This window comes from Homo sapiens, chromosome 5 (assembly GCF_000001405.40).
Source record: "Homo sapiens chromosome 5, GRCh38.p14 Primary Assembly".
Lineage (NCBI taxonomy): Eukaryota > Metazoa > Chordata > Mammalia > Primates > Hominidae > Homo > Homo sapiens.
Genome location: NC_000005.10, coordinates 25962523 through 25988861, shown reverse-complemented (window position 1 = coordinate 25988861; position 26339 = coordinate 25962523). Strand labels below are relative to the sequence as shown.

Genomic DNA, 26339 nt, shown 5'->3' with positions numbered 1-26339 from the left:
CAACTCCATCATAGCTCTGTGTTGGTTATGTTTGGTGTCTTATATGGCTGTAGTTATGGGACCACAAAATAATTACAACAGTAACATCAAAGACTACTGATCACAGATCACCATAACAAATATAGCAATAATGAAAACATTTGAAATATTATTAAAATTACCAAAATGTGACACAGAAAACACAAAGTGAGCACATGCTATTGTAAAAATGATGCAAATAGACTTGCTCAATACAGGGTTGTCAGAAATCTTCAATTTGGAAAAAATGTAATATCTGCAAAGCAAGATAAAGTAAAGTGCATTAAAATAAGGTTTGCCTGTATTACTTGTGGTTTTAAGTTACACCTCCCTAATCACTAAGAATTTTATGTACCTTTCATGTACTTACTTGCTTTCATCTTTCTTCTTTGGTGAAGTATCTGCTCAAACTTTGGCTCACATTTTTAATGCTTTTTTGTGTGTGTGTTTGCATTGACAAATTTGAGAGTTTTTTCACATTTTCAACACAAGTTATTTACCAAATTCTCAATTTTCTCCCAGCCCGGCTTGTCCTTTTATTTACCTTTGTAAATCATATAATACATGTAGATTAATACATATGAGACAGCTTATAGTAGATTAAGTAATACTATATTTTCTTGTAGATATACCTGTTTTATTCATTTAAATACCAATGTCTATAAATACTATTCCTGGAGAATTACTGTGTAGGTTGGAATTTTGCATTTAGTTTAGAAGCCATATGACTAAAGGTTAATTGATTTAATGTCTTTTTGCCATCGTGAACTTATATACAAAATGGAATAAAAATAGTGACTAAATTATAAGGCTACTGAAATAATGTATATAAAGGTACTTAACATAAAGCATAGCCTAAAATGCATCCTCTATGGTTAAATATTAGTAGTGAGCTTTAAAAATAACTTTATGAAGTAAGATAAACTTGACTCTTTTTCTGACTTTATCTCGTATTTTAAAATATTTCCAGGCTTACTCCTTTGTTGTGTTATTCTGTTTTTATTTTAACTTTACTGGATATCTTACTACTAGCCATTTATTAAATTGCTGCCACAATATATCAAGGAAATTCTATGGTAACCACATTGTGTATAGCACTATTTCACATATTGAGAACATTAAGCCCACTCAGTTAATTCCACATTTATTCATATGTTTTTAATGCATCTCATTTCTTTTTTATCAGTACTGCTATCTTATCAGTACTGCTATCTTATCAGTACTACTATTACTTTTAGTTCCTACAACTCAACATGAACTATATTTGTTTCTTTTGGTTTTTGTATTTCCTAGAATAATCATGTAATAATGGCTGTTTTGCTCCCCCCATCCATTTTTAGACAGTTGTTTTATACATGAGCAACAGATCTTTTTTCCACAAATAATTCTTATTGTTTTTGGGTAGAGGGTGTTTCATTTCAGAGCTTCTCAGAACTACAAAGGAGATGCAAGTGGGTTGAAAAAAGATTTCTCCTGAAGTTCTGATGTGTTATTTACTGAGGAAAGCCTTCTAGACTATGGTAAATGATGAATATGATATTTTAAGATTAATTATGTTGCATGTTAAAATGAATAAAAATTATTATTGTTACATAATTAAAACTGGCAAAACCTTCTATCAATTTAGGTCTAAAGTATAAAAAGTAAAAAGATAAAGGTGATTTTACTACCCTACTTAAGATTTCAGATTATTTATTTTCTGTGTCTTTACGTGTGGCTGCGAATGAAATTTAAGCTAATGCTATCTCTGAAATCCTTACTCATTGGGTTCTCATTTACAATTGTTTGTATTGTTCTTGAGTGGCAAAGCGTCAGTTTAAGCCTCAAAGTGTCATATGCCCCAGCCAGAAGAGCACTGAAGGTAGTATATTTCCTGTTTGTTGTTTAGCCCCCTGATAATCTCCCCTGTTTGCACTCCTTTGTCATCTGTTCTAGGAAACGTCAGATGGAAATTGCTTCCTGAAAACCTTCTATCATTATTTTCCTTCTGATTTTCTTCTGATTCAAATAATGAAAGTTCGGTTTTCCAGAAGGCAGGCACTGAGATGGAATTAGAATAGCCAATGTATCATCAATTTATTTTACCAGTGTCTCACTGTCTTCAGTGTATAGATCTTTCACCACCTTGGTTATATTTATTACTAAATATTTTACCATTTTTATGCTATTGTATATAGAATTGACTTTTTTCTTTCTTCTCCAGATTTTTTTGTTAGTGTATAGAACCAAAAAAATTTCTGAGTTAATATTATATCCTGCTACTTTACTGCATTTCTATGTTAGTTCTAATAATTTTGGTGAAGTCTCCAGGGTTCAAAATTGAATAAGACACAAATAAATGGAACAATCTCATGTTCATGGGTTGAATGCATCTTTATTAAATTCCAAAAAGATTTTTTACAGAAATAGAAAAAAAAAATTCTAAAATTCACATGGAATAAAAAAAAAACTCAAACATCCAAATAAATCTTGAGAAATAGGAACAAAGGTAGAAGCACCACACTTTCTAATGCCAAATGATATTTCAAAGTTATAGTAATCAAAACAGTCAGTTCTAGCATAAAAACAGACATAGAACCATGTGGAACATAATTGAGAATACAGAAATAAACTCATGCATATAGAGTCAACCAGTCTTTGACAATGACACCAAGAATATATTAGGGGAAAGGATAGTCTCTTTAATAAATTATATTGGCAAAAACTGATGTCCATATGCAAAAATATAAAATTGGACATTTGTCCAACTGCATATACAAAAATCACCTCAAAATGGATTAAAGACTTAAATATAAGATCTAAAATCATAAAACCCCCAAATAAAAAGTAGGAAAGAAAAGCTCCTTAATTTTGTTCTTGACAGTGATTTTTTGGATATCACATCAAAAGCATAGGCAACAAAAGCAAAAGTAGAAAAATGGAACTATATCAGATAAAAATCTTCTGCAGAGCAAAAGAAACAACCAACAAAATAAAATGATAGCCTGTGGGATGGGGGAAAATATTTGGAAACCATAAATCTGATTATGAGTTAATACTCAGAATATATGAGGAACTCATGCAACTCAAGAGAAAAACAAACAATGACAAAACTGAAACAAACCAATAAAAATGGGCAAAGAAATTGAAGAGACATTTTCTTTAAGAAGACATACATGTGACCAACAGGTATACAAAAAGGTACTCAATATTACTCATTATCAGAGAAATGTAACAAAACTACAATGAGATATTACCTCACAATTGTTAGGATGGCTGTAATAAACAAGAAGAGCTCACAAGTGTTGGCAAGGATGTGGAGGAAAGAGAAGCTTCATACTTTGTTGGTGGGAACGTAAATTGGAACAGCCATTATGGAAAACAGTTTGCAAGTTCCTCAAAAGATTAAACTAGCATGAGAATTTAGTAGTTCTAAAAATGGAGCTACTATATGATTTGGGAATCCCACTTCTAGGTATATATCCAAAAGAAATAAAATTAGTATCTCAAAGAGATATCTGCACCCCATATTCATTGTAGCATTATTCCCAATAGTCAAGATACAGAAACCTGTGTGTCCGCAACAGATGAATGGATAAAAAATATATATAATATATAAATAAAATTGTGTATATTTATGTGCAAACACACTATATATATATGATATGTCATTGTGTGTGTGTTTGTGTGTGTGTGTGTGAAATGAAACATTCTTCACCCATTAAAAAAAAAAAAAAGAAAATCCTGCCTGTATGAATGTAAAGAACATTACGCTAAGTGAAATAAGCCAGCCACAGAAAGACAAATACTGTATTATGTCTCTAATATATGGAGTTTAATAGTCTAAATCACAGAATCAGAGAGTGGATTGATGGTTACCAGGAGTTCGGGTTTGGAAGAAATGGGGAGATGATCAAAGGTTACAAACTTTGAGTTATAAGATGAATAAGTACAGGAGATCTAATGTAGTGTGTGGTTACTTAGTTAATAATACTGCATTCTTTACTTGAAATTTGCTAACAGTGAAGATCTTAAGTATCCTCACCATACACACATAAATGCACACACACAGGCAAGATATCTACGTTTGATGACAGATGAGTTGGTCAATTTGATTGTGGTAATCATTACACATCACTACAATGTATGTAGATATCACCTCATCACACTATAGACCCTGAGTATACACAATTTTTATTTGTCGATTATACTCCAAAAAGTCTGAGGAAAAACACAATTGCAAAATTATATTGGGTAGTAACACTTGTGAAAAAAATGAAAGAAAAATAGGTAGAATTGGGCAACGCCAACAATGAGACCATGACCCTGGCCCCAAAAATTCTGAGCCAGTCCAATGGACAGTCTTCAGAGCAAATATTGTTCCTTAAAGCAGCTCCTGTTTGGAGTGGAAATAGGCAAATCCTTTTAATATCATCTTGGTCAGCCATTGGCTGGGGGCCTCCTTGATACCTGCATGGATGCTGCTGGAAGGCATAGGAAGATTCTCAAAGTTCTGAGCACTGGAGACTTTGAGCCAATATGCACTTTTCAGGTGGACAGAGGCTTTCTTGAATGAGATGATCTAAGCGGTGTTTTTGCTTCTCCGTTTATGCCATGGCAAGCAAATAAATACAGTTTAACTTTTAGTTAATTGCTTTAACTGACATTAAGGGATAATATGAATAACATTGGACATTAATGCTTGTCAAAATCAACTTATATTCATGTTAATTACAATTATTAGCTCATAGTTATTGATCATTCAGAGTTTGTTATAAAAATAAAACATATATACTCTAAATATATTTGGCTTGAGAAACATGGGCTAAGAACAGAAGAGCCAAAAAATCCTAGTGTCGTTTTATAATTTCTAATGAGAATTTAATGTAAATAATTTTTAAAAGCATAATTAGTAGAGGAATATGAACTATTTTATATTTATGCTTAAATGTGTGTATATGTGTGTGTGTATATATATATATCAGAATGTACAGTATAATAAAATTATGACCTACTTTTGAGTAAATGTCCCAAAGGGCCTAATTATCCATATAAAATAATATATTACTCATTTTAAATTTTAATTTAACAACTTGACATACTCCTGCTTTTTCAGACTAGATAATCAACTTTCTTAGATATGTAATTTTAACAATAAAACTTTTATGAAATATAATTATGCACATTGTTAAAACAAATATTAATTTTTGCAAATCAATCATAATAAAGTAAATAATCAAAATAAATAATGCACACAAAGGAGATTAGAATTATAACCAGTAAATAACATAGGATATTTTCACATCAGAAAAATGAAACCAAAATTGATTCACCTTATACTGAGGTTTTAAAAAAGTATACAAATAAAACAATACATTCAAAAGGTTAAATTTGTCTAAATGTTACTTTTCTATGTATTATATCTTTCATATAATTTTAGAAAATATAAGATATTAAAAAGCACATTACAATTAGCACAATAAGTTATCACATAGTATTATTAAATAACAAGTGTGGTGTTCCATTTTGTGTGTTCTACTTACTGAGCAACTATTGATAATTCATACTTATTTACAATTTTGTAACTTGGTATTCTTATTTAACTCTCAGAGGAGAAGAAATGCATAATGAATCATTGATGACATCGAACAGAAGGATATCTATACTGAATACTTAAATGCGTATTAATGGTTTACTGTTCTAGCTTACATCAACTATTAAAAATTGATCTATTTTAATTAAAAAATATGGCGTAGATATTGAACTCAGAATGTTGTAAACACATTGGTATTCTTCCTCTCTGGTTGCTTTTCAATTTTCAATCTTTTAAGTGAGAAGATAAAATTTTCAAATGTATTTATACTAACATCAAAATAGTAATTTAACAAAATAAGTGCAAAACGTACACCTTGAAGACTATGAAACATTGTTGAGAGGAATTATAGAAAATCGAAATAAGTAGAAAACTTATATTTCATATGCATGGGATGAAAGTATCTATATTGTCAAGAGAGCAATTCTCAACAAATTGGTTATAAATTCAACACATTCCTTGTCAAAATTCCAACAGATATGATTGTAGGTGTTGACAAGTTGAACTTAAAATTTGTATAGACTTGAAAATAACTTATAAAGTCACAGTGATCAAAATAGTGTAGCTCTGGAGCAAGAACAGGTATAGAGATAAATCAAACAAAATTGAGCATTCAAAGATAACCTTTACATTTATAGTCATATTAATTAATCACAGGTGTGAATACAAATAAGGGAAGGACAATATTTCCAAACTGTTGCTGGGACAATTAGGTATGCATGTGCAAAAGAAATAATTTAGACAATTTGTTCCATACATAAAATTAACTCAAAATGATTCAGAAATCTAAATATAAGAACAAAAACTATAAAATCTCTAAAAGAATACATATGAGAAAATGTTCATGACTATGGGTTAGGCAAAGATTTCTTAGATAAACCACCGAAATATGATCTTTAAAAGAAAAAAATATCAATTTACCTTATCAAAGCTAAAAACTCTCTCCACTTTAAAAGACATCATTATTAAAACTAAAAAATAAGCTACAGATTGGGAGAAAGTATTTACACATCATATAGCAATAGAAGAATTGTATTCAGAACATATAAAAAAATCTTAATTCAATGATTAGATGCTAACCAAACTAATTAAAAATAGGTAAAACATGAGGATAGATATTTAACCTTAAGATACTTATGCCTAAACATAATTTTATATGTAAATATAATTAATTGTATTTTATTAGCCTTTATAATGTTTTCTAATGTGTTCCATTGACACTTAATAAAGCATATTTCTACCATTTTTAAACTCATGGTTTATGTAGATCTAAATATTTTTATTTTGTAAGTGAAGGCCACGCTTTTCTAATCTATTGGAAGTACACGTCATGAATGTGAATGGAGGTGACAGGGAGATATTTAGATATCTTTCTGAAGGTTTAGTTTAGTTTACATTCTATGATGATGTATTACTCTAGTGCACACATATGATTAGACTGAGAGAGAAATCATTTTGATCATGTGTTTGTTATCATGAACATGCTCTTCAACCTTTTTGCTGCAACAAGCAGATCATTCTTAAATGTAAGTCACAGAAATCAGGTTTCTAAGATAATAAGAAAATATTTAAAATGAAAAGAGTAAGATAACTTTAACAGTCGCAGCTGTTCCTTGATGGCATGGCTGCCTGACAAGAAAGATTTCCAACGCAGGAGGTAATAAAACAATTATTGTATAATCACCTTTGGGAATGTTGTAGAACAGAGAAAAAATGCTCAAACGTCTACAGAGGTTAGTATATAATACAAATGAATGAATCAAGCCAGATGTAAGATTCACGTTTTCAAGAATTGTGAAGAAGATCAATCTTTTTACATTGTTCAGTTTTCACGGAGTCATGGATACAGTAAAATCGTTTCTTTCTTTTTTATTTTTCCATGAAGAAAACACAAAAAAAGTATGGTAATTAATGGTTGTAGACACTGGGCCCGAATGTCAAAAACCATGAGAAGGGGTGGTCAGTAGCAAACTATTAAATTCTGTGATGTAGTTAATAGGTGGCCATTATTTAGCTGTGTAAGAGTGTTACAAAGGTTCCCTCCCCTCACTTCCACCCCTCAACAGGCCCTGGTATGTGCTAGTCCCCTCTCTGTGTCCATGTGTTCTCAATGTTCAACTGCCTCTTTTAAGTGAGAACATGCGGTGTTTAATTGTCTGTTCCTGTGTTAGTTTGCTGAGGATGATAGGTGCACCAAACCACCATGGCATACATATACCTATGTAACAAGCCTTCACGTTCTGCTCATGTATACTGTTTTTTTGTTGTTGTTTTTGTTTTTGTTTAGAAGAAAAAAAGAGAGTTACAAAGGGATGAACATGGATAATTGATATGGTTGGTCATGTCCCTACCCAAATCTCATCTTGAATTCTCTCATGTTGTGGCAGGGACCCAGTGGGAGGTAACTGAATCACTGGGGCAGGTATTTCCTGTGCCATTCTTGTGATAGTAAATAAGTCTCAAGAGATCTGATGGTTTTAAAAAGGGAAGATTCCCTGAACAAGTTCTATTCTCTTGTTTGCCTCCATGTGAGACGTGCCCTTTACCTTCCACCATGATCGTAAGGCCTCCCCAGCTGTGTGGAACCATAAGTCCATTAAACCTCTTTCTTTAGTAAATTGTCCAGTCTTGGGTATGTCTTTATCAGCAGCATGAAAACAAACAAATACAGTAAATTGGTACCAGTATAGTGGGGCACTGCTGAAAAGATACCCAAAAATATGGAAGCAACTTGGGAATTTGGAAACAGACAGAGATTAGAACAGTTTGGAGGGCTCAGAAGAAGACAGGAAATTGTGATAAAGTTTGGAACTCCCTAGAGACTTCTTGAATGGCTTTGACCAAAATGCTGATAATGATATGGACAATGAAATTCAGGCAGAGGTAGTCTCAGAAGGAGATGAGGAACTTGGGAACTGTAGTAAAGGTGACACTTGCTATGTTTTAGCAAAGAGACTGGTGGCATTTTGCCCCTGCCCTAGAGATTTGTGGAACTTTGAACTTGAGAGAGATGATTTAGGGTACCTGGCTGAAAAAAATTTCTAAGCAACAAAGCATTCAAAGGGAGACTCAGGTGCTGTTAAAGGCATTCAGTTTTAAAACGGAAACAGAGCATAAAAGCCTGGCATAGGACAATGGGAAAAATGTCTCCATGTCATGTCAGAGACCTTTGCAGAAGCCCATCTCATCACAGACCTGGAGGTTTAGGAGGAAAAAATGGTTTCATAGGCTGAGCCCAGGGTCCTTCTGCTGTGTGAAATCTAGAGACTTGGTTCCCTGAGTCCCATTCACTCCAGCCATGACTAAAAGGGGCCAAGGTAAAGTTTGGGCTGTTACAAAGTCTCAGGATACAAAATCAATTTGCAAAAATTGCTACCATACCTATACACCAACAGTGAAGCTGAAAAGCACAAATGAACTCTCATTCACAAGCTACACAAAAAGAATAAAATACTAGGAACACAGCTAACTAGGGAAGTGAAAAAATCTCTTCAAGGAGAACAACACACTACTAGTCAAAGAAATTAGAGATGACACAAACAAATAGAAAAATAAGAACCTCTTTCTTTAGAAATTCTTTAGTAAAGATCTCTTCAATGAGAATGACACACTACTGCTTAAAGAAATTAGAGATGACACAAACCAACCCAAAACTAGTAGAAGAAATAATAAAGATCATAACAGAAGTAAATAAAATTGAGACTAAAATCCAATGCAAGGAATCAGTAAAACAAAGACTTGGTGTTTTGAAAGAATAAACAATATTACTTTTAAGACTAAGAAAAAAAGAGAGAATACAAATAGAAACAGACAAAAATAGGAGATATTACAACTGACACCACAGAAATCCAAAAGATCATCAGAGACATATGAACAACTATACATCGACACATTGGAAAACTTAGAAGAAGTGGATACATTTTCAGACACATGCAAGTTGCCAACATTGATTCATAAACAAAGAGAAACACTGAACAAACAAATAATGAGTAATGAGATGGGTCAAAGGGTCCAAAGTTATAACTAGGAGAAATAAGTGCTAATGTTCTATTCCATATAGAATGGATAGAGATAACAATAATATATTGTATATTTCTGAATAGCTAGAAAACAGATTTTTGAATATTTCCATCACAAAGAAATCATGAATATTTAAGCTTATAGATATGCTAATCATCCTGACTTGATCATACACAATGTGTATCTGTATCATAATGTATTTTTGTACTCTAAATATGCACAACTATTACATGCCAACCACAATTTAAAATTCTGAAAAGTTATGTGATAACACGTATTTGAAAACAAATTTAATTACCACACACACACACACACACACACACAAACCCAGATATTTCCTGTGGACCAATATTTTTATATCCAAACACACTTTCAACTTAGGCAGTATAGAGCAGATGATTTGCCAGTTTGCAAACTTTAGGCAGTAGGGATACTTGAATTGGGTAGATATTTAAATTAAATGTTGCTATGACATCCTAAATATATTGAAAGTGACATAGTTCTGAGTCTAAAATATCAATGATTGGGTGTAAACTCTTAGTATCTATGATCCAAACACAATTACTATTTCCATTTGCAATCTCAGTTTAAAACATGAATAAAGTATGTTTCTTGAAAAAAGAGATGTGTCCATTTTATCTTCTCATATGCTTATCAGAGAAACAATAACATAGTAGGTCTGCTCTAAATATTTTGTAATAAATGAATAAAGACTCAAATTAGTATGGCATTCTTTATATGCTTAATTATTGTGTAAGACTTGGTGATTATATGCCTTTGTAAGACAAAGCACCTAAAATTATTCCTTTTTTCCCTAACTTTTACATTTCATCTTTGTCAAGTATATATAGCGGACATTAATTTTTGGAATCATACAAAACATCCGTTACAGACATAAGAGTAAGGGAGAATGAGTCTCCATGGACTCTTCTTTCTACTGCTAAATGAATTTCATAAAGAAGTCATGTCCATTATGAAAAGATAAAGTGATGGTGTAATTCTTGAGATAAAACTTATATCTACAGAACCAAGAAATGTTGAAAAATTGTACTTTTTTGTTAACTAGGTTAAGTTTGAGGATGTTATGCTTTGGAATATCTTTATCATAACTGTTTCACAATTTCAATGGATTGCAGATGCTAGGTGATAATCAGTGTAATAATTCTATTTAAATATGTTGGAATATTTGTAATTTATCAGTTATAATTATAAAAGTCTATTTAATATCATTAGACTTCAAAGAAGACAACTATTTCTATGATTCCCATCTCCACTTTAGTTAGACTGTCTATATAAGATATAATACCACTGGCCTGTGTGCTAGAGCATAGCTTTACTGGCAACACATGAGTATGTGACTGCTTATCTCCTAACAGTTTAAACAAAGCAAACAAATATTTTGAATATGTTGTTCCTTAAAGATTTTGCCACAAGAAAACTAGTCAATCAATCGAGATTCCCATGTTGGTCAATCTTAAGCCTCTTTGGCAATCCCCAAATAATTATATAGCCATTGAATAATACTTTTCAAAAGTCTTATCTTTAACATGAAATCATGAGCACTGTGGTGTAAGAACTTTATTCTACTGAAACTAGAACAAGACAGAATCAGTGCTGGTCACCTAGAGTAGAGAAATTTGGAAGTATTTTAAAAATGTGTTCTCAAAGTTTACAGCATAACCCTATCTCATCATACTTGGTGATTTGGTGAGTGTCCAACGTACTTATTACAAATAAAGGAAATACATTCTATTTAAAATACCCTTTCAGTGAGTTCCATAATGAAGCAAATATATTTATACGTATGTATCTTAATGAATTTTTTCATTTTCAGATATTTTTTCCATTTAGAAAGCAATACATTAAAATTTTATTTTTAAAAAGTAGGATAAGAATCAGACATTAAAGGATAGTTAATGCATGATATTGTAATCAGGAAAAATAGGAAAAAATTCATAGTAACTAGAAGTAGGAGTTGAAAGAATATACTCCTGCTTCCAAGTAGACTATCGCAACTGCAATTTATTCATTAACCGAAGTAAAAAGAGTGGAATTTATGTGGCTGCTTACTTAAAATATCAATTTTATTTCTCTGAAGTTTCAAAAGAGTCTGCATTCTGCTGTTTCTTATGAGAGAAAATCCTGAGCATTAACTAAATGGAAATATCACTCAGAGGAATATTTTGAAGCCGATAATGCAAATTGTGAATGAATATGGCCAAATTGTTTTTGCAACTCCAAAGAGAAAATTCTTAGCTGGGAGCAATGCAATGAAAAGTATAATCAAACAAGAAAATTAATTAATTGCTTGGAGCTTCCTTTTAGAAAAGTTTGAAAATTGCCTGATAAGTGAATTTTAAGAAATAGATGAAAACTTGCCATCCCTGTAAGTAGATATTTGTCATATATCAAAGAGAGTAGTCAGGGTCTTAACAAAATTACCTTAGGACACAACTAAAAATGCGTGCACTTGAAAGTGTTTAAAATATGCTTGAAATAAATAAGAAAACTAAGATTAGGTGAATGTTATCATTAGATAAAACAATGGATGTCATCCACTAAGTGTATTTTCTCATCTCTTTTTATTTTAGTGATATTAATGGCTTATAACAGTAACTAACAAAGTGCTTGATGGTAAATGTATATCTGTGAAGAACAGAAAAAAGTGACTATTCAGATGAGGCTAAATTGACTGGGGAAAATTAAGTGCTCGTAGCAGTAGTTGTAAACACAATGATTTGCAAAAAGTATCACTAATATTAAAATCCTAGCTGCATTCCACCCCTCTTTGTTTGTATTATTAATGACACTAAGGGGGAAAAGTTTAGTGACTTATGTCTTATATATGTGATTTTTCCAGTAACCACCCAAACAAAGATTAAAATACTTCTAGAATATTTCAAATAAAATAAAATTCAGATCACTTAAATATAAAAGACAAAATCATAATATTTAACCTTAGAAGATCATGGTAACATACGGCATACACTGAGTGTGGGATAAGCTGAGAACAACTTTAAATACTTTATATCATTTAATATTCAGCACATGCAGATAAACTATGAATTATTCCAATTTTAGAGGCAGCAGCACCAAGGCTTAGAGAGGATAAGTAAGCTGACCTAGCTAGCCCCTAGCGATACCAAGATTTAATCTCTAATCTGCCTGGCAACAAAACAAAGCCTTCCTGTATTACACTCAACTGACTTATCTGGTGGCATGGATGTTACAATTCCAGTTTTACTTAAAACTTTTTGTTTGCTTGTGACTGGTTTTTCATTATTTGGGACAAAGTTGTGGTGAATATAAATCTGTGCAGGGTGATTTTCTATGAGTTTACAAAGACATAGATATCACTAGACAAGTGTGCAATCTCCTTTTAACATCTGAGGGTGACATGAGGATAGCATGTCCAGAAATGTTTGTGTTATCTGTCTACAAAAAAAAAAAGTCTTCAGTTTTTTGTACATGTGATTCCTGAGTGACTTCAACTACTTTCCAGTAACAATGTTAGCAACTATTTTAGTTCAGACTGTCAGCTAACAAATTAATTTAGAAATGTCCTCTTGTGAGTGGATTCTCAGACTCATGCGTGCAACTGTGGAGCAATATTGTTAGGATTGTACTAGCTGCCTTTATACATCTAGAAGAAGCATCACGTGGCCCTTATTCTAAATAGTGATGAAGAAGATTTACTGTAGTTGACTGCTCATTTTTAAACCAACATTGGCAATTGAAATTTATATATCTAGTATGTGTTCATCTGTGTGTTGCGTGTGTATATCTTGATATCTGTGCATATTTGATATATTTATATATAAACAAGACATGGTATGCAATGTATAACATATATGGATGTGTGTATTTATTGTCTAATCTAGAATGGAGGTAATAACAGAATTTGTTTCATGAGCTTCAGGCAACCAGAATCAGAATTTCAGACAGAAGATAGATGAATATAATCTGCAGGTACAATTACAATCTCATGTGTCCTAAACAGCCTACATTTGCACAGTAACTGGAAAGAAACGTATATTGCCAAAATTATTCATACAATAACTAACCTGGTTTCTTAAAAGGGAAGTTCACTACAAAAAATTCTATTTTAAAGAACCAATGTTTATTATTTAAAAAATTAATATCCAATGGTGGTTCAATTTAGCTATGTGAATGTTATAAAATTGTGTTGAATTTTTTCTGCCATGGTTCTGAAGTCAGATTTAAGTCATTAAAATAATAGTTATTTTAAATAATTACGTTTAGAAATAAAACTAATTACTCAAGTTTTCTATTGGCTATTTTCTTGCAAAATATCTATTAGTAAATTTTAAAATATATGTTTGTACAGTGCTTGAATGATAAAAAATCACAAATACTCCTATTGCCTGTAACGAAAATAGATATGCAGATTCTGCCATTCAAATGTTCCTTTTACTTTATCATATTTTACAGAACTTTATATCCAAAGGGGAAAAGGAAATTTGCAAATATTTCTTATTCGATGAATAAACATAAGGACAATCCTCACAGCACTTTGCAGATTGTGCTAAGGCATCAGACTGGCAAGAATGTAAAGGCTCCAAATGCTTTTGTTGGTCTAATTGTTTTGCATCTGCCAGCCCTGCCAGCCTGTGTGTGTTCTAGTTGCTGACACCTGCTTCATTTCATTTTGCAAAATTCCACCTAATTTTCAAAAGAGAGGGAAACAAACTTTAATATTTGAAGAAAATATATTACATTTGAAAAAAACAAAAACACCTCTGGCATTGTGTCAAAATATAAAACTTTACATTCAAGAGAATCCTATACAAAGCCATCTTAATGTACATGTACACCTTAGAAATAATTCTTGCTTGCTGAACAACAGGGAATTCATGTTACATGAATAGAATTTTTAGGAATTCCATCTGCTACCTAGTTAACTGATCAAGAATATCTGATTAGTTTTATAATCACAAAGTATTTGGGGGGAAGAAAGAGGATTTTTTATGGCTATAAAAAGATTATCAGCTATTTCTTTACTGGACAAATATTATTTTATCAGGTACTATTCTAGCCACCTGAATTACATCATTAAACAGATCTTTGCCTTCATGGAACCTATGTCATTGGAAAAAAGTATAAGCCATAGAATGAATAACCATAGCCCTGCTTGCCTGTGATAACTCCAATGTATGCCTCTTGTCATGAGATACTGTGCATAGCAACCTCTTTCATTCCTCAAATTTTACGGGTTCAGTTAACACATTGAATGGTCACCTTAGCAATACACATAATAACTAGGTAAATTACTTAGAATGTTATGTAATAAGTACTTTGGGGAAAACATAAGTAAAGTGAGGTGGAGGGTTATCAGAGTGTGGGAGATGATGGAGAGGGAGTTACAAATTACAAGGGCTGCAGGGGTAGACCTCACTGCAGATTGATACCTAGCAATTACTGAAATGAGTAGAGGTGCATTTTTTTTTTTGAGATGGAGTCTCACTCTGTTGCCCAGGCTGAAGTGCAGTGATGTGATCTCAGCTCACTGAAACCTCTGCCTCCCGGGTTCAAGCGATTCTTCGGCCTCAGCCTCCCAAGTAGGTGGGATTACAGACACACGCCACCATGCCCGGCTAATTTTTGTATTTTTAGCAAAGAAGGGGTTTCACCTTGTTGTTCAGGCTGGTCTCGAACTCTTGACCTCGTGATCTACCTGCCTCGGCCTCCCAAAGTGCTAGGATTACAGGCGTGAGCCACCGCACCCGGTGAAGTGCCACTTTAGTGGTTCTGTGTCCAGGCCAAAGCAACTCCACTGCAAATATCTTAAAATGGGCATGTGCCTTAAGCCACAGGGTCAGTGTAGTTGGAATAGAGAGTAAATATATCCAGGAGAAAAAGAGAGCCAGAACATGTAATTACTTGTAGCCATTGTAGCATGTTTGGGTCTTTCTCTAAGAAAATTGAGAACAAAACTGGATTGGTTTCCACAGGGAAGTAACAAAATAATTTCTCTAACTGTTGTTGGAGACTTGACTGTACGCAGTAAAAACTGAAAAGGAAGACCCGTTTGGGGAATTTTCGGCTTCCTGTTTCACTGACTAAAGTAGGTAATAAAATGAATTGATTTAGTAATAGTGATATCTTTGACATTTTCACCATTTTTTTTTTATTTTGTTTTGAGAGGGTGTCTCGCTCTGTCTTGCTCAGGCTGGAGTGCAATGGCGCCATCTTGACTCACTGCAGCCTCCGCCTCCTGGTTTCAAGTGATTCTCCTGTCTCAGTCTCCCGAGTAGCTGAGATTATAGGCGTGTGGCACCACATCCGGCTAATTTTTTTGTATTTTGAGTAGAGACGTGGTTTCACCATGTTGGCCAGGCTGATCTTGAACTCCTGACCTCAGGGGATCCACCCACCATGGCATCCCAAAGTTCTAGGATTACAGGCATGAGCCACCAAGCCTGGCCATTTTCAGCATTTTTTATAAATGCTTTTTTATTTTAGTATATAGTAGCATATAGTAGCATGCTTATCCTGTCTTTTTCATATTTTGCTGTTTTGTTTGCTTTATAAGTATTTATAAAATAAATAATTTTATCAAATTACTTATTCAGCAACTTCTCATGTAATTGGGTTTTTTCCATTTAATATGTCAATATGGTGAATCAAATATGTATGCATGTGTCGACCTATAAAACAAACAGGGAGATATTTATTTGGGAATTGACATTGCAATGGGAATATACATGCCATAATAAACTGTGCATATACAGGGAGGCAAAGGACAACAAAGGTTTTTAAAGGAAAAATGAGGATAATTATTTTCTTGAGATAATTATCTTTGGCTGCAAGGATCAATAACAAATTGGCAACAGTCTGAGATTGGACAGAAAGTTGCTAGGAAAATGTCCTCACGTAAGTATATTTTTAGTTAAGTTTATGGTGGCTTTTGTGAAAAGTTGAATTTGTTGTCGTCTCTTGTGATAGTTCTTGTTACCAGATATTTGTGCATGGGAACCTTCCCTTCATGGCCTTATCTGGCTTCATTTATCAGCATTTTTTAGCACTAATGATTCCATTTTTATTCTGACAACATTCATATTTCACAGTTTTGGTCAGGGTCTTTCTCTGAAAGCACCACTGATCAGTCATTCTGTAGTTATGTTTGATGTCCCTTGGTACTGGGATGAACCTGTCCCAGGTTGTTGTTGCTCTAGCCCCACACTGGAGGTTGCAGTTGGCAACTAGCAGCCTGTGTCAAAACCTTTTTTGCCACATTTGAGTTACAAGGGAGATTCAGAAATAGTGGCTCTCAGGCTAAGTCTACCTAAAGTTCAGTGTTAACTTCAATTTTGTTTGTCTATTACCTTAAAATGCTGGGCCAGCATTATTCAGTTAGGAGTTGTAGTTTTACATACATTTAACAAATAACAGTTACAACATTAAAAATTAAAAAGAAAAAATATGAAGTGAAATTGATAATGAGAACATAGTTCCACTTTGCCTAATGGGTTTGAGCTATGAACCTACGCTTAAAGGCAACAAATTCAATAAATCAAATGAGAATAAGCAATTAGGTGGCATCTATTTTAACCATGTGCCCTACTTTCTTATTTTGTGTATATGGGTCTCAACTTTCCATGAGGAATTTATTTAGGTACAGCATGAAATATTAGCAATAGCACAGACTTTTTTTTTTTTTGAGACAAGTCTGTACTCCAAGGCTGAAAATACAGTGGTGTAATCACAGCTCTCACTGCAGCCTCAACCTCCTGGGATCAAGCAGTTCTCCCAGTTCAGCCTCCTGAGTTGCTGAGACCACAGACATGCCACTATGCCCAGCTAATTTAAAAAAATAATAATAATAGAGACAGGGCTGGTTTCAAACTCCTAGGCTAGAGGGATCCTCCAGCATTGGCCTCCAAAAGTGCTGGAATTACAGACATGAGCCACCGAGTCTGGCCAGATATTTATTTAGTTAGTTAGTTAATAGATAACTTTCAGGCCATTTTTGTTTTTCTGTAAAGATATACCTAAGGCTAGGTAATTTATAAAGAAAGCGGGTTTAATTGGCTCACGGTTTTGCAGACTGAACAAGCATGGTTCTGACATCTGCTTTGTTTCTGAGGAGGACTCAGTGAACTTTTACTCAAGGTAGAAGGTGAAGTGAGAGCAGGCACATCACATTGTGAAACCAGGAGCATGAGAGAGAGGGGGCAGGTTCCACAAACTTTTAAATAACCAGATCTTGTGAGAATTCCCTCTCAATCAGGAAGACAGCAGCAAGCCATTTATAAAGGATCCACCTCCATGACCAAAACACCTCTACCAGGCCCCACCTCCCACACTGGGGATAACATTTTAACATGAGATTTGGAGAAAACAAAAATCTAAACTACATCATAATATTGAGCAAATTTTTAATCTAGTATCCCATGACTGGGTTGAATTAGAGCAGATAGTAAGTGACAGTTGTATTATGGGTGTTTTCAAAGTTACCTTCTAGGTGGTAGTCTAAAGGATCTTTTAGGTCAGGTTCTGTCAGGATACCAGCAGAAGATACTAATTGTGAAATTTCAACTCTACCATTATCCAGACAATTGAAAAAGGTAGCCTTAAGGAAAGTAAGAGTCTCATTATAATATGGAGTCCTGCTCCAATGTCACAGAAAGAGCTGTGCACAGCATGAAGCTATCAACTTCTCATCCTGGTGTATAGTTTAAATATCTCTGGTTATGGTATCAGGTAGTTTGGTGAAATAGTTGTGTGACCCATGCATAAGACATGAGACTTGTTCCTTAAAATATATTTAGTTTCAGCTTACAGGGCTTTGAGAACCAGAACAGTCCCTGTTCTTAGTCATTACATGAAACATAGTTGGATTGAAGAAATCTAGAAGACTTCAGGGTGTAGTCCATTCTATAGGTAGATAATAAGACCTCAAAAACAATGAACAGAGCTAGAATCTAATAATAGATATAGTTTTTTCTTTAGAAAGACAACTTTTTCTCTCTATAATCTTGCCCATTATTTACCTAAGACAATCAAACAAATTTGTTTGTAAAATTTTAGGGTTATCAAATTTGGCCTGAAAGAATAGTGATTTGAACACATTGTAATCTCAGATTTAAACTTTTTTTAAGACTAAAAAGCCAAATCAAGAAAGATTTTAGAATTTCATCTGCAGTACCTAATATCTTGAGGTTCCTGGGACTTCCAAGAGGTCACAATTTTCTATTCACTCACTGTGAGGCTCAGAACCCTTGAAGCTAGGCAGTCTATGCATATTCCCAAATATAACATTCTAATCAAAGTCTTGGTGATATAACCAATGTTTCCATTTGTATCCTGTTATAAAGAGAGCATATTGTGATTGAACTTCTGCAAATAACAATATTGCCATAGAAAATAAGAATACTCATGAATAGTTTCTACATTTTGCAAGGATCAAGTAGGGAGAACAAGTAAATGCTCCCACTTTTGTTCATAAAGATATACTGTAAACTCCACATAATTTGAAAGAGAAAGTTTCTTTAAATCTGGAAAACAAAAGATTAAAGAACAGATATGTTTCAAATAAAAGTCACAAAAACATTATCTTTAGCAGTGATTTAATCTGATGCATCAGGGGAATCCGCCCCCGATAATTCAACGTTATTTCACATAGGTTCTTTTCTATTTCCCTAAGTGTCGGCCGGTCCGAGAAATAAAGAGAAAGAGTACAAAAGAGAGAAATTTTAAAGCTGGGTGTCCGGGCTAGACCTCACATGTTGGCAGGTTCCATGATGCCCCCTGAGCTGTAAAACCAGCAAGTTTTTATTAGCAATTTTCAAAGGGATGACATGCTTCAAGGGTGACAAAAGATCACAAGGCAGAAGGTCAGGGCAAAACTAGAATCACTAATGAACTTCCCTGTCCTGTTGTGCACACATTGTCAGGGTTCAAGAACAGAGAACCAGTCTGACTAGAATTCGCCAGTCTGGAATTTCCTAATCCTAGCAAACCTGGGAGTGCTGCAAGATACTAGGGCATGTTTCATCCCTATCTACATCTGCATAATGCAGACACTCCCAGGGTGGCCATTTTAGAGGCCCCACCCTGGGAATGCATTCTTTTCCCAGGGCTGTTAATTATTAATATTCCTTGCTGGGGAAAGAATTCAGCGATATTTCTCTTACCCATTTTTGGTAATAAGAGAAATATGGCTCTGTCCTGCCCTGCCCACAGGCAGGACAGACTTTAAGGCAGCCAGACTTTAAGGTTATCTCCCTTGTTCCCTGAAAATTGCTGTTATCCTGTTCTTAAGGTGCCCAGATTTCATATTGTTCAAACACACATGCTCTACAAACAATTTGTGCAGTTAACACAACCATCATAGGGTCCTGAGGCGACATATATCCTCAGCTTACGAAGATGACAGAATTAAGAGATTAAAGACAGGCATAGGAAATCACAAGAGTATTGATTGGGGAAGTGATAAATGTCCATGAAATCTTCACAATTTATGTTCAGAGATTGCAGTAAAGACAGGCGTAAGAAATTATAAAAGTATTAATTTGGGGAACTAGTAAATGTCCATGAAATCTTCACAATTTATGTTCTTCTGCCATGGCATCAGCTGGTCCCTCTGTTAGGGGTCCCTGACTTCCCACAACACTGATGTAGTTAATTTTTGTTTTGGTTGATATGGATTTGCAGTTTCACAAGTTCATCAATTTCTTCATTAATATTCTAGAACATTTTTCTTTAGTCTATTGGTTGTAAAGTTTTTAGAAATCTGCATTCAAGAGTACTATTATAGAGGTTTCCATGAATTTAATGGCAGAATCATTTAGATAATTCAAAACAATAACTATAAATAACAAAAACTGAAATCTGACAAGGAAATGTGGTTAATTTTGTGTGACGCCACATAACCCAAATTATCATGACATATTAGATTTTTTAAATATTTTATACATTTTTGGAACATTAATATCAATAATGTATACATAAATGTAATTCAAAGAAGATCTAGCATCTTTTATCATTTGACAAGTCTTTACATGTAACTCAATATTTCAGATAAATCCAATATAGTTCAATATCTCTTTTTTGTAAACATTTGAGAAGTACTGGGGCCTTTTAACATATCCCAAAGTTAACTTGAGGTTAAAAAAAAGGTCTTAAAATTTTGATACTGGGCAACCAAGCAAAGATACCAAACATTTAGAAACACTTGATCAAATAAGTTATTGTAAAATAATAGTCATTCACTTAACCAGAATAAGAAGTAAATACAGAAAGTTACATGGATGAACAACAACAACAACAATCTTAACTTTTTCAAAGCTCAGCTTTCTTAAGTAATAAAATAAAGACCTGAATAAAGACAGCAAGAAGCACAGGGTATTACAAAATCTGTATTTCCCAGGCCAGTTGCCAAAAAAGGTTTTTTAAAAATCAAACCAAAACCTAATTGCAGTATGATTGATTCTCCTTAGAGGAAACTCATTTAGATAACCTAATCCTGATGAAAAGGTACTTGAATTTAATCAGAAAAAGGAAGTGTGTGTTCAACTTTATGATTGCACACCATATTATAGAGGAATGTAAACAAATTTACTAGTGCCTTGAGCAGGGGAATACATGGCTCTTACTACGGACAGAAAGCATGGAAAATATCCTGGTTACATGAAACAATTCGGACACATCAGTGAAAGCTATGTGTACAGAACTGAGTTATATTGGAGAAAAACATTGTTTTTCTAAACCTTCAAGATAGAATATACAGTGTCAAGCCATAACAGTAGAATTAGAACCAGAAGAAAAATGTTACAAGAGCTGATGAAAAAGTTAACAGAGAAAGTTATCAACTTAGTCAAGCAATATAATGTACCTTTTCTAGGGGAGAAAGAGAAAAAGCAGAAAGCAATGATATATGACTGCAAATGACATGCAGTGAGATACAGCAAAAGTTGAACTTCTAAGATACAGATCTGAAAAGCTTCAAGAGGAAACCTCTACCTTGAGAAACAGAATTGCCATACTACATAAAAAAGATAATTTAACCTAGAATTAGGGGAATTATTTTATTTTATTATTTATTTATTTAATTTATTTATTTATTTTTAAGATGCAGTCTCACTGTGTCACCCAGGCTGGAGTGCAGTGTCACCATCTTGGCTCACTGGAACCTCCACCTCCCTGGTTTAAGCAATTCTCCTGCCTCAGTCTCCCGAGTAGTTAGGACTACAGACCATGACCTCGCCCAGCTCATTTTTGAGGGGTATTTTTAGTAGAGGTGGTGTTTCACCATGTTGGCCAGGCTGGTCTCAAACTCCTGACCTCAAATGTTCCACCCACCTCAGTCTCCCAATATGCTGGGATTACAAGTGTGAGCAAACACGGCTGGTCAGAATTAGGGAATTTAAATGGATACTATAAAACAGAAAAAAAGAAATAAGCTACAATGGAGAAGATGGTTGAAATTTTAAATCAACAGGTTTTCAAATTAAATAAAAACCTCTTTCAAATTTTAGTAAGAGTAGATCAATACTTCAAAACAACCTTGTTATTCTAACAAAGGGCAACAAATTGTTAGCTTTGTATTAGTGCATACTTAATATTAATGCTCAGTATTTAGAAAGACAGAAATAATTCCCTTCTAATTATAGCCAACTTGATAATGCACAAAATTTCTTCCATATATTTATGCTTCAAAAATCTTTCACAACTTACTAAGAACCTTCCACAACATGCTTTGACCTTTAGTTTTGTCTTATATTTCCTCTTTCCTAAATAACCATGCATGACTTTAGAACAATAAAAGTAGTTTTTCTTATATTTTTGAAAAATTATTCTCTTCTCTTTTTAACTTTTTGTACTAAAAATACATCTCTGTATGTATACTTATTTATTCATATCTCTGTCTTCTACTTACTGGTTCTTAAAATTTAAGAAACCAAGAACAAACCTATAATTATTTTCAGTAATTCATTTTAAGTATTTTAACTTAGTTAGAAATGACCCATGCATTTTATAAATATCTACTACTTAATTTCATATAACGTAATTTTAAGATTTTAAATTACATGATGTTTATTTATAAATGTTTATTCCATTTATATTTACCCAATATATTTATTTTTTACAATTATACCTCGACCACATATGAAAACTGAGATATTAGACAAAGCTAGTTATCACTGCAAGTTATTTCCCTGTTAATCATTTTTATATCCTGTGACTCTTCACCTGAATAAAAACCTTAAAGTAAATACATGATATTTTGTCAATAATTCTGAAAATACAATTGTTTTTATGAAACCAACAATATCAAATTAGTATTACGTATCAAAGATTTGAACGAACAAAGATCATTCTTTTAGGCTGTATTTAGAGTTCTATGACCTTAAAACATCTAGCAGAGACAAATAGAATTCTACTGAACAGTAAACCCAGGCAAAAATGTATGCTGCCAATTCTGAAGACATTTTTATTTTTACAATACATTTAAAATTAGCTTCCATATTAAGCATTTATTTAAGTCATGAGAACTAAAAGACATTTGGGTTAATTACTATAATTTTTAAAAAATTTTATGAAAGCTCTTTTATCTACACCAATGAGAATAGAATCCTGTAAGGGATTTCTGGCCAACTACTTCAGATTTCATCTTATAGACACAGTGTATAGTATAATATGCCTACATAGGAAAACACATCTAAGTATGCACACACACACAGACACACACACACACATACACAGAAAGATCTTATGGATTTCATTTTAGAATTTTTGTCATGAGACAATAAACTGTAGTAATGCAAACTAACCAGTTTATAAAAGGACACCTAGATCCAAATTTTGTTTTGATAAATTAGGACCTATTCACATAGATCAAATTTGTTTGTCCCAACAGATAATTTTATGAAGGCTGTGGACCAAATTTTTGGGTATATCAGTTTGTTTGTTTTTTTTAAACAAAATCTTTTTTTTTACCCTTTTTCCATTTTCAAATGATTTCAGCATTAAATTTTTAAATGTTTAGATTTTAGTTAGGTCTTGGTGAACTGTATAAGGAAAATAAAAGTTTCAAGCAGCTTTGAGTTAGTAACTAAGCTTTCCTTTATTTGTCTCGTTTGGTTGACTAGTATGCGTGGGGAAGCATTTTAGCCATTTTTTTAAATTTGCTTTTTCTGGCCCCTGCATGGCAAACAAAGCAATTTATACACTAGACAGATATATATTATTACTCTGAGTCCAGATTTTGTCCCATTTAATCTGAGAGTTTAACTTTTCTATAAACAGTTATCTAGCTTGCTATTCTTTTTAGATTGTTTTATATAAATTTAACTGTTGCATCACCGTAAGTGATTGTTAGGTAGGTAAGCCCAAATTTACATTAAAAGAAATGACTCAGTTTTTGAAGGCTATGTTGCTCATTGTCATGGAGCTGTTATAATTTGTAAAGCCATTAATTTGAAACTCCTTTAAGACTATTTTAAAAATCTTGACTGGAATGTTAAAAGCAGTGAGTTTATCTTGATAATTGCAGAAAAGTCAGTGAATTGAAAGTTGGCAAAGAAAAAAAAGAGAGACAAACAGAACTTACAAGGCTCAACATTTTAATATGATAGGTAGTTGCAATTTTCTTAGAGAGTTCAAAAAATGATCATTGAACTCAGTTTTTCTGAGTAATTGATAAATCACTTAAAGACTGTACATAAGAATGGGTCATAATATAGTGGCTGGAATCCCTGAAGGAAGTTTATTGTTGAATGTCTTCAGAATTTCAGAATCCTATTCGATTTTTCATTAGTATCCCAAGAACAAAATAAATAAATAAATAAATTCTGTTAGGAAATATCAGGAATTTGATCCAGTGTTTTAGATGGTCACTGTTTTTGTATTGACTTTTATTAGCCATATCATACTCTTCATTTAAAATGTTTACTCTTGTTCCGGAAGATGTTCAGAAACAAAAAGAGTAAAAATTGTAAAAGATCCAGATTTTTTTACAGACGTGTAACCAAACCAAAATGAAACCAAAATCAGACTGTTCCCTAAACTATTAAGCCAAGCATGCAGATCAAACTAAATATTTGTTTTGATCACAAGAACCAAAAAATGATTATGCAAGAAATGATAGGAAGTCCTCACAAACTAAATATAAATTCTGTAGAAACCAGAGTACTCGCTAAAAGAATGCTTATCAGAAAGGGCTTGCCAGAAAAGACTTATAGCCCCAAAAGGGATGCAGGGTCTTTCATTAAAGGTGGCTTATAACCAAATTAGATCCAGAATATAGTAAAAACAAACAAACAAACAAAAAACTCACCAAGAGGAAGGAGTCCGAGAATTCTAGACGAGATTCACAGGACAGAAATGTGACTCTTGGAAACAGAGAGAACAAAGGGCTCAGTCACCATTGTGCTGGATTCCCAGTGGACGCTGATTTGTCCAAGGTCAGTCAACTTCAGTTGCACTTCTGAGGCATCATTACGTCAATCTAAATAAGAGAGAGGGAGACTCTCCAGAAGATAAATAAATGTTTTTCAGGATTAGGCATTGCAATGGGAATATGCATGCTATTGTAAACTATGTGCATATTCAGGAAAGTAAAGAAAGACATAGATTTTTAAGGAAAAAATGGAAAGGATACATAATTATCTTGAGACACTTATTTTTGGCTGTAAGAACCAATAACAAGGGTGGCACCAGTCCAAGCTTGGACAGGCATTTGCTGGGCAGATGTCCTTGCATCAGTATTTTCTTGAGTAAGACTGTGGTGAGATAGAAATAATACAGGGTGGTCCCAGGAGAATAGAGAATTCCAGTCAGCACTTTCACAATACTAGCAAAAGGAAACTTGAAATAGCTGCAGCAACTAGGGACTGATAAAAGCGTGAAAAACCAGGGTGTGCACCAACCTGGCTAAGGCTGACTGGACTCAACATGGCACTGGATTTGACCTAGGTTTCACCTAGGACCTCATTATACACTAATGAACAAACTAAATCACATACCCACCAGCAGCCTGACAGTTTCCAGGACACCTATATTTGGTGTAAAAATAAGTAGTACTACAGTTTCAAGAAATCTTTACCTTTTTCCAGGAATCTTCATGAATATTCCACCCTTTGATTAAAAAAAAAAAGAAAGAAAGAAACCCATAAAGAAACGGGCACGGTGGTTCATGCCTGTAGTCCCAGCACTTTGGGAGGCTGAGGCAGGTGGGTTCCCTGAGGTCGGGAATTCAAGACCAGCCTGGCCAAGATGGTGAAACCCCGTCTCTACTAAAAAATACAAAAAATTAGCTGGGCGTGGTGGCAGGCACCTGCAATCCCAGCTACTCCCGAGGCTGAGGCAGGAGAATCACTTGAATCTGAGAGGCAGAGGTTGTAGTGAACCAAGATTGCGCCATTGCACTCCAGCCTGGGCAACAGCATGAGACTCTGTATCAGAAAAACAAAAACAAAAACAAAAACAAAAACAAAAACAAAAACAAAAAAACCCTAAAGATAGAAACCCCAAATCCCCTTTGACACAACTCTCTCTTAAGTATGCTCACATTCTTTCTTCAGCGTGTTTTTCACTTTGTAATAAATCTCTGTACTTTCACTATTTTATGACTCATTTTTTAATTCTTTCTTAAAATTGTGTCAAGAGCCTGGACACCAGCTGGGGTCGAGGTCTTACCGGCATTTGGGGTCCTCCCCTAACCCACCAATATCACTGGTGGCTTTTGTGCAAGACTATGTATTTT

The 26339-nt window shown here is 33.6% G+C and overlaps 1 long non-coding RNA gene across 1 annotated transcript; it reads right to left on the bottom strand.

The window, feature by feature from the left end:
* Window positions 1–2372: 2372 nt before the first annotated feature.
* Window positions 2373–24969, bottom strand: LOC124901176 (uncharacterized). Its single transcript, XR_007059127.1, has 2 exons — window positions 24912–24969; window positions 2373–4595 (listed from the first exon to the last, which is right to left on the bottom strand). It is a non-coding gene; the product is annotated as an uncharacterized LOC124901176 (long non-coding RNA).
* Window positions 24970–26339: the final 1370 nt, after the last annotated feature.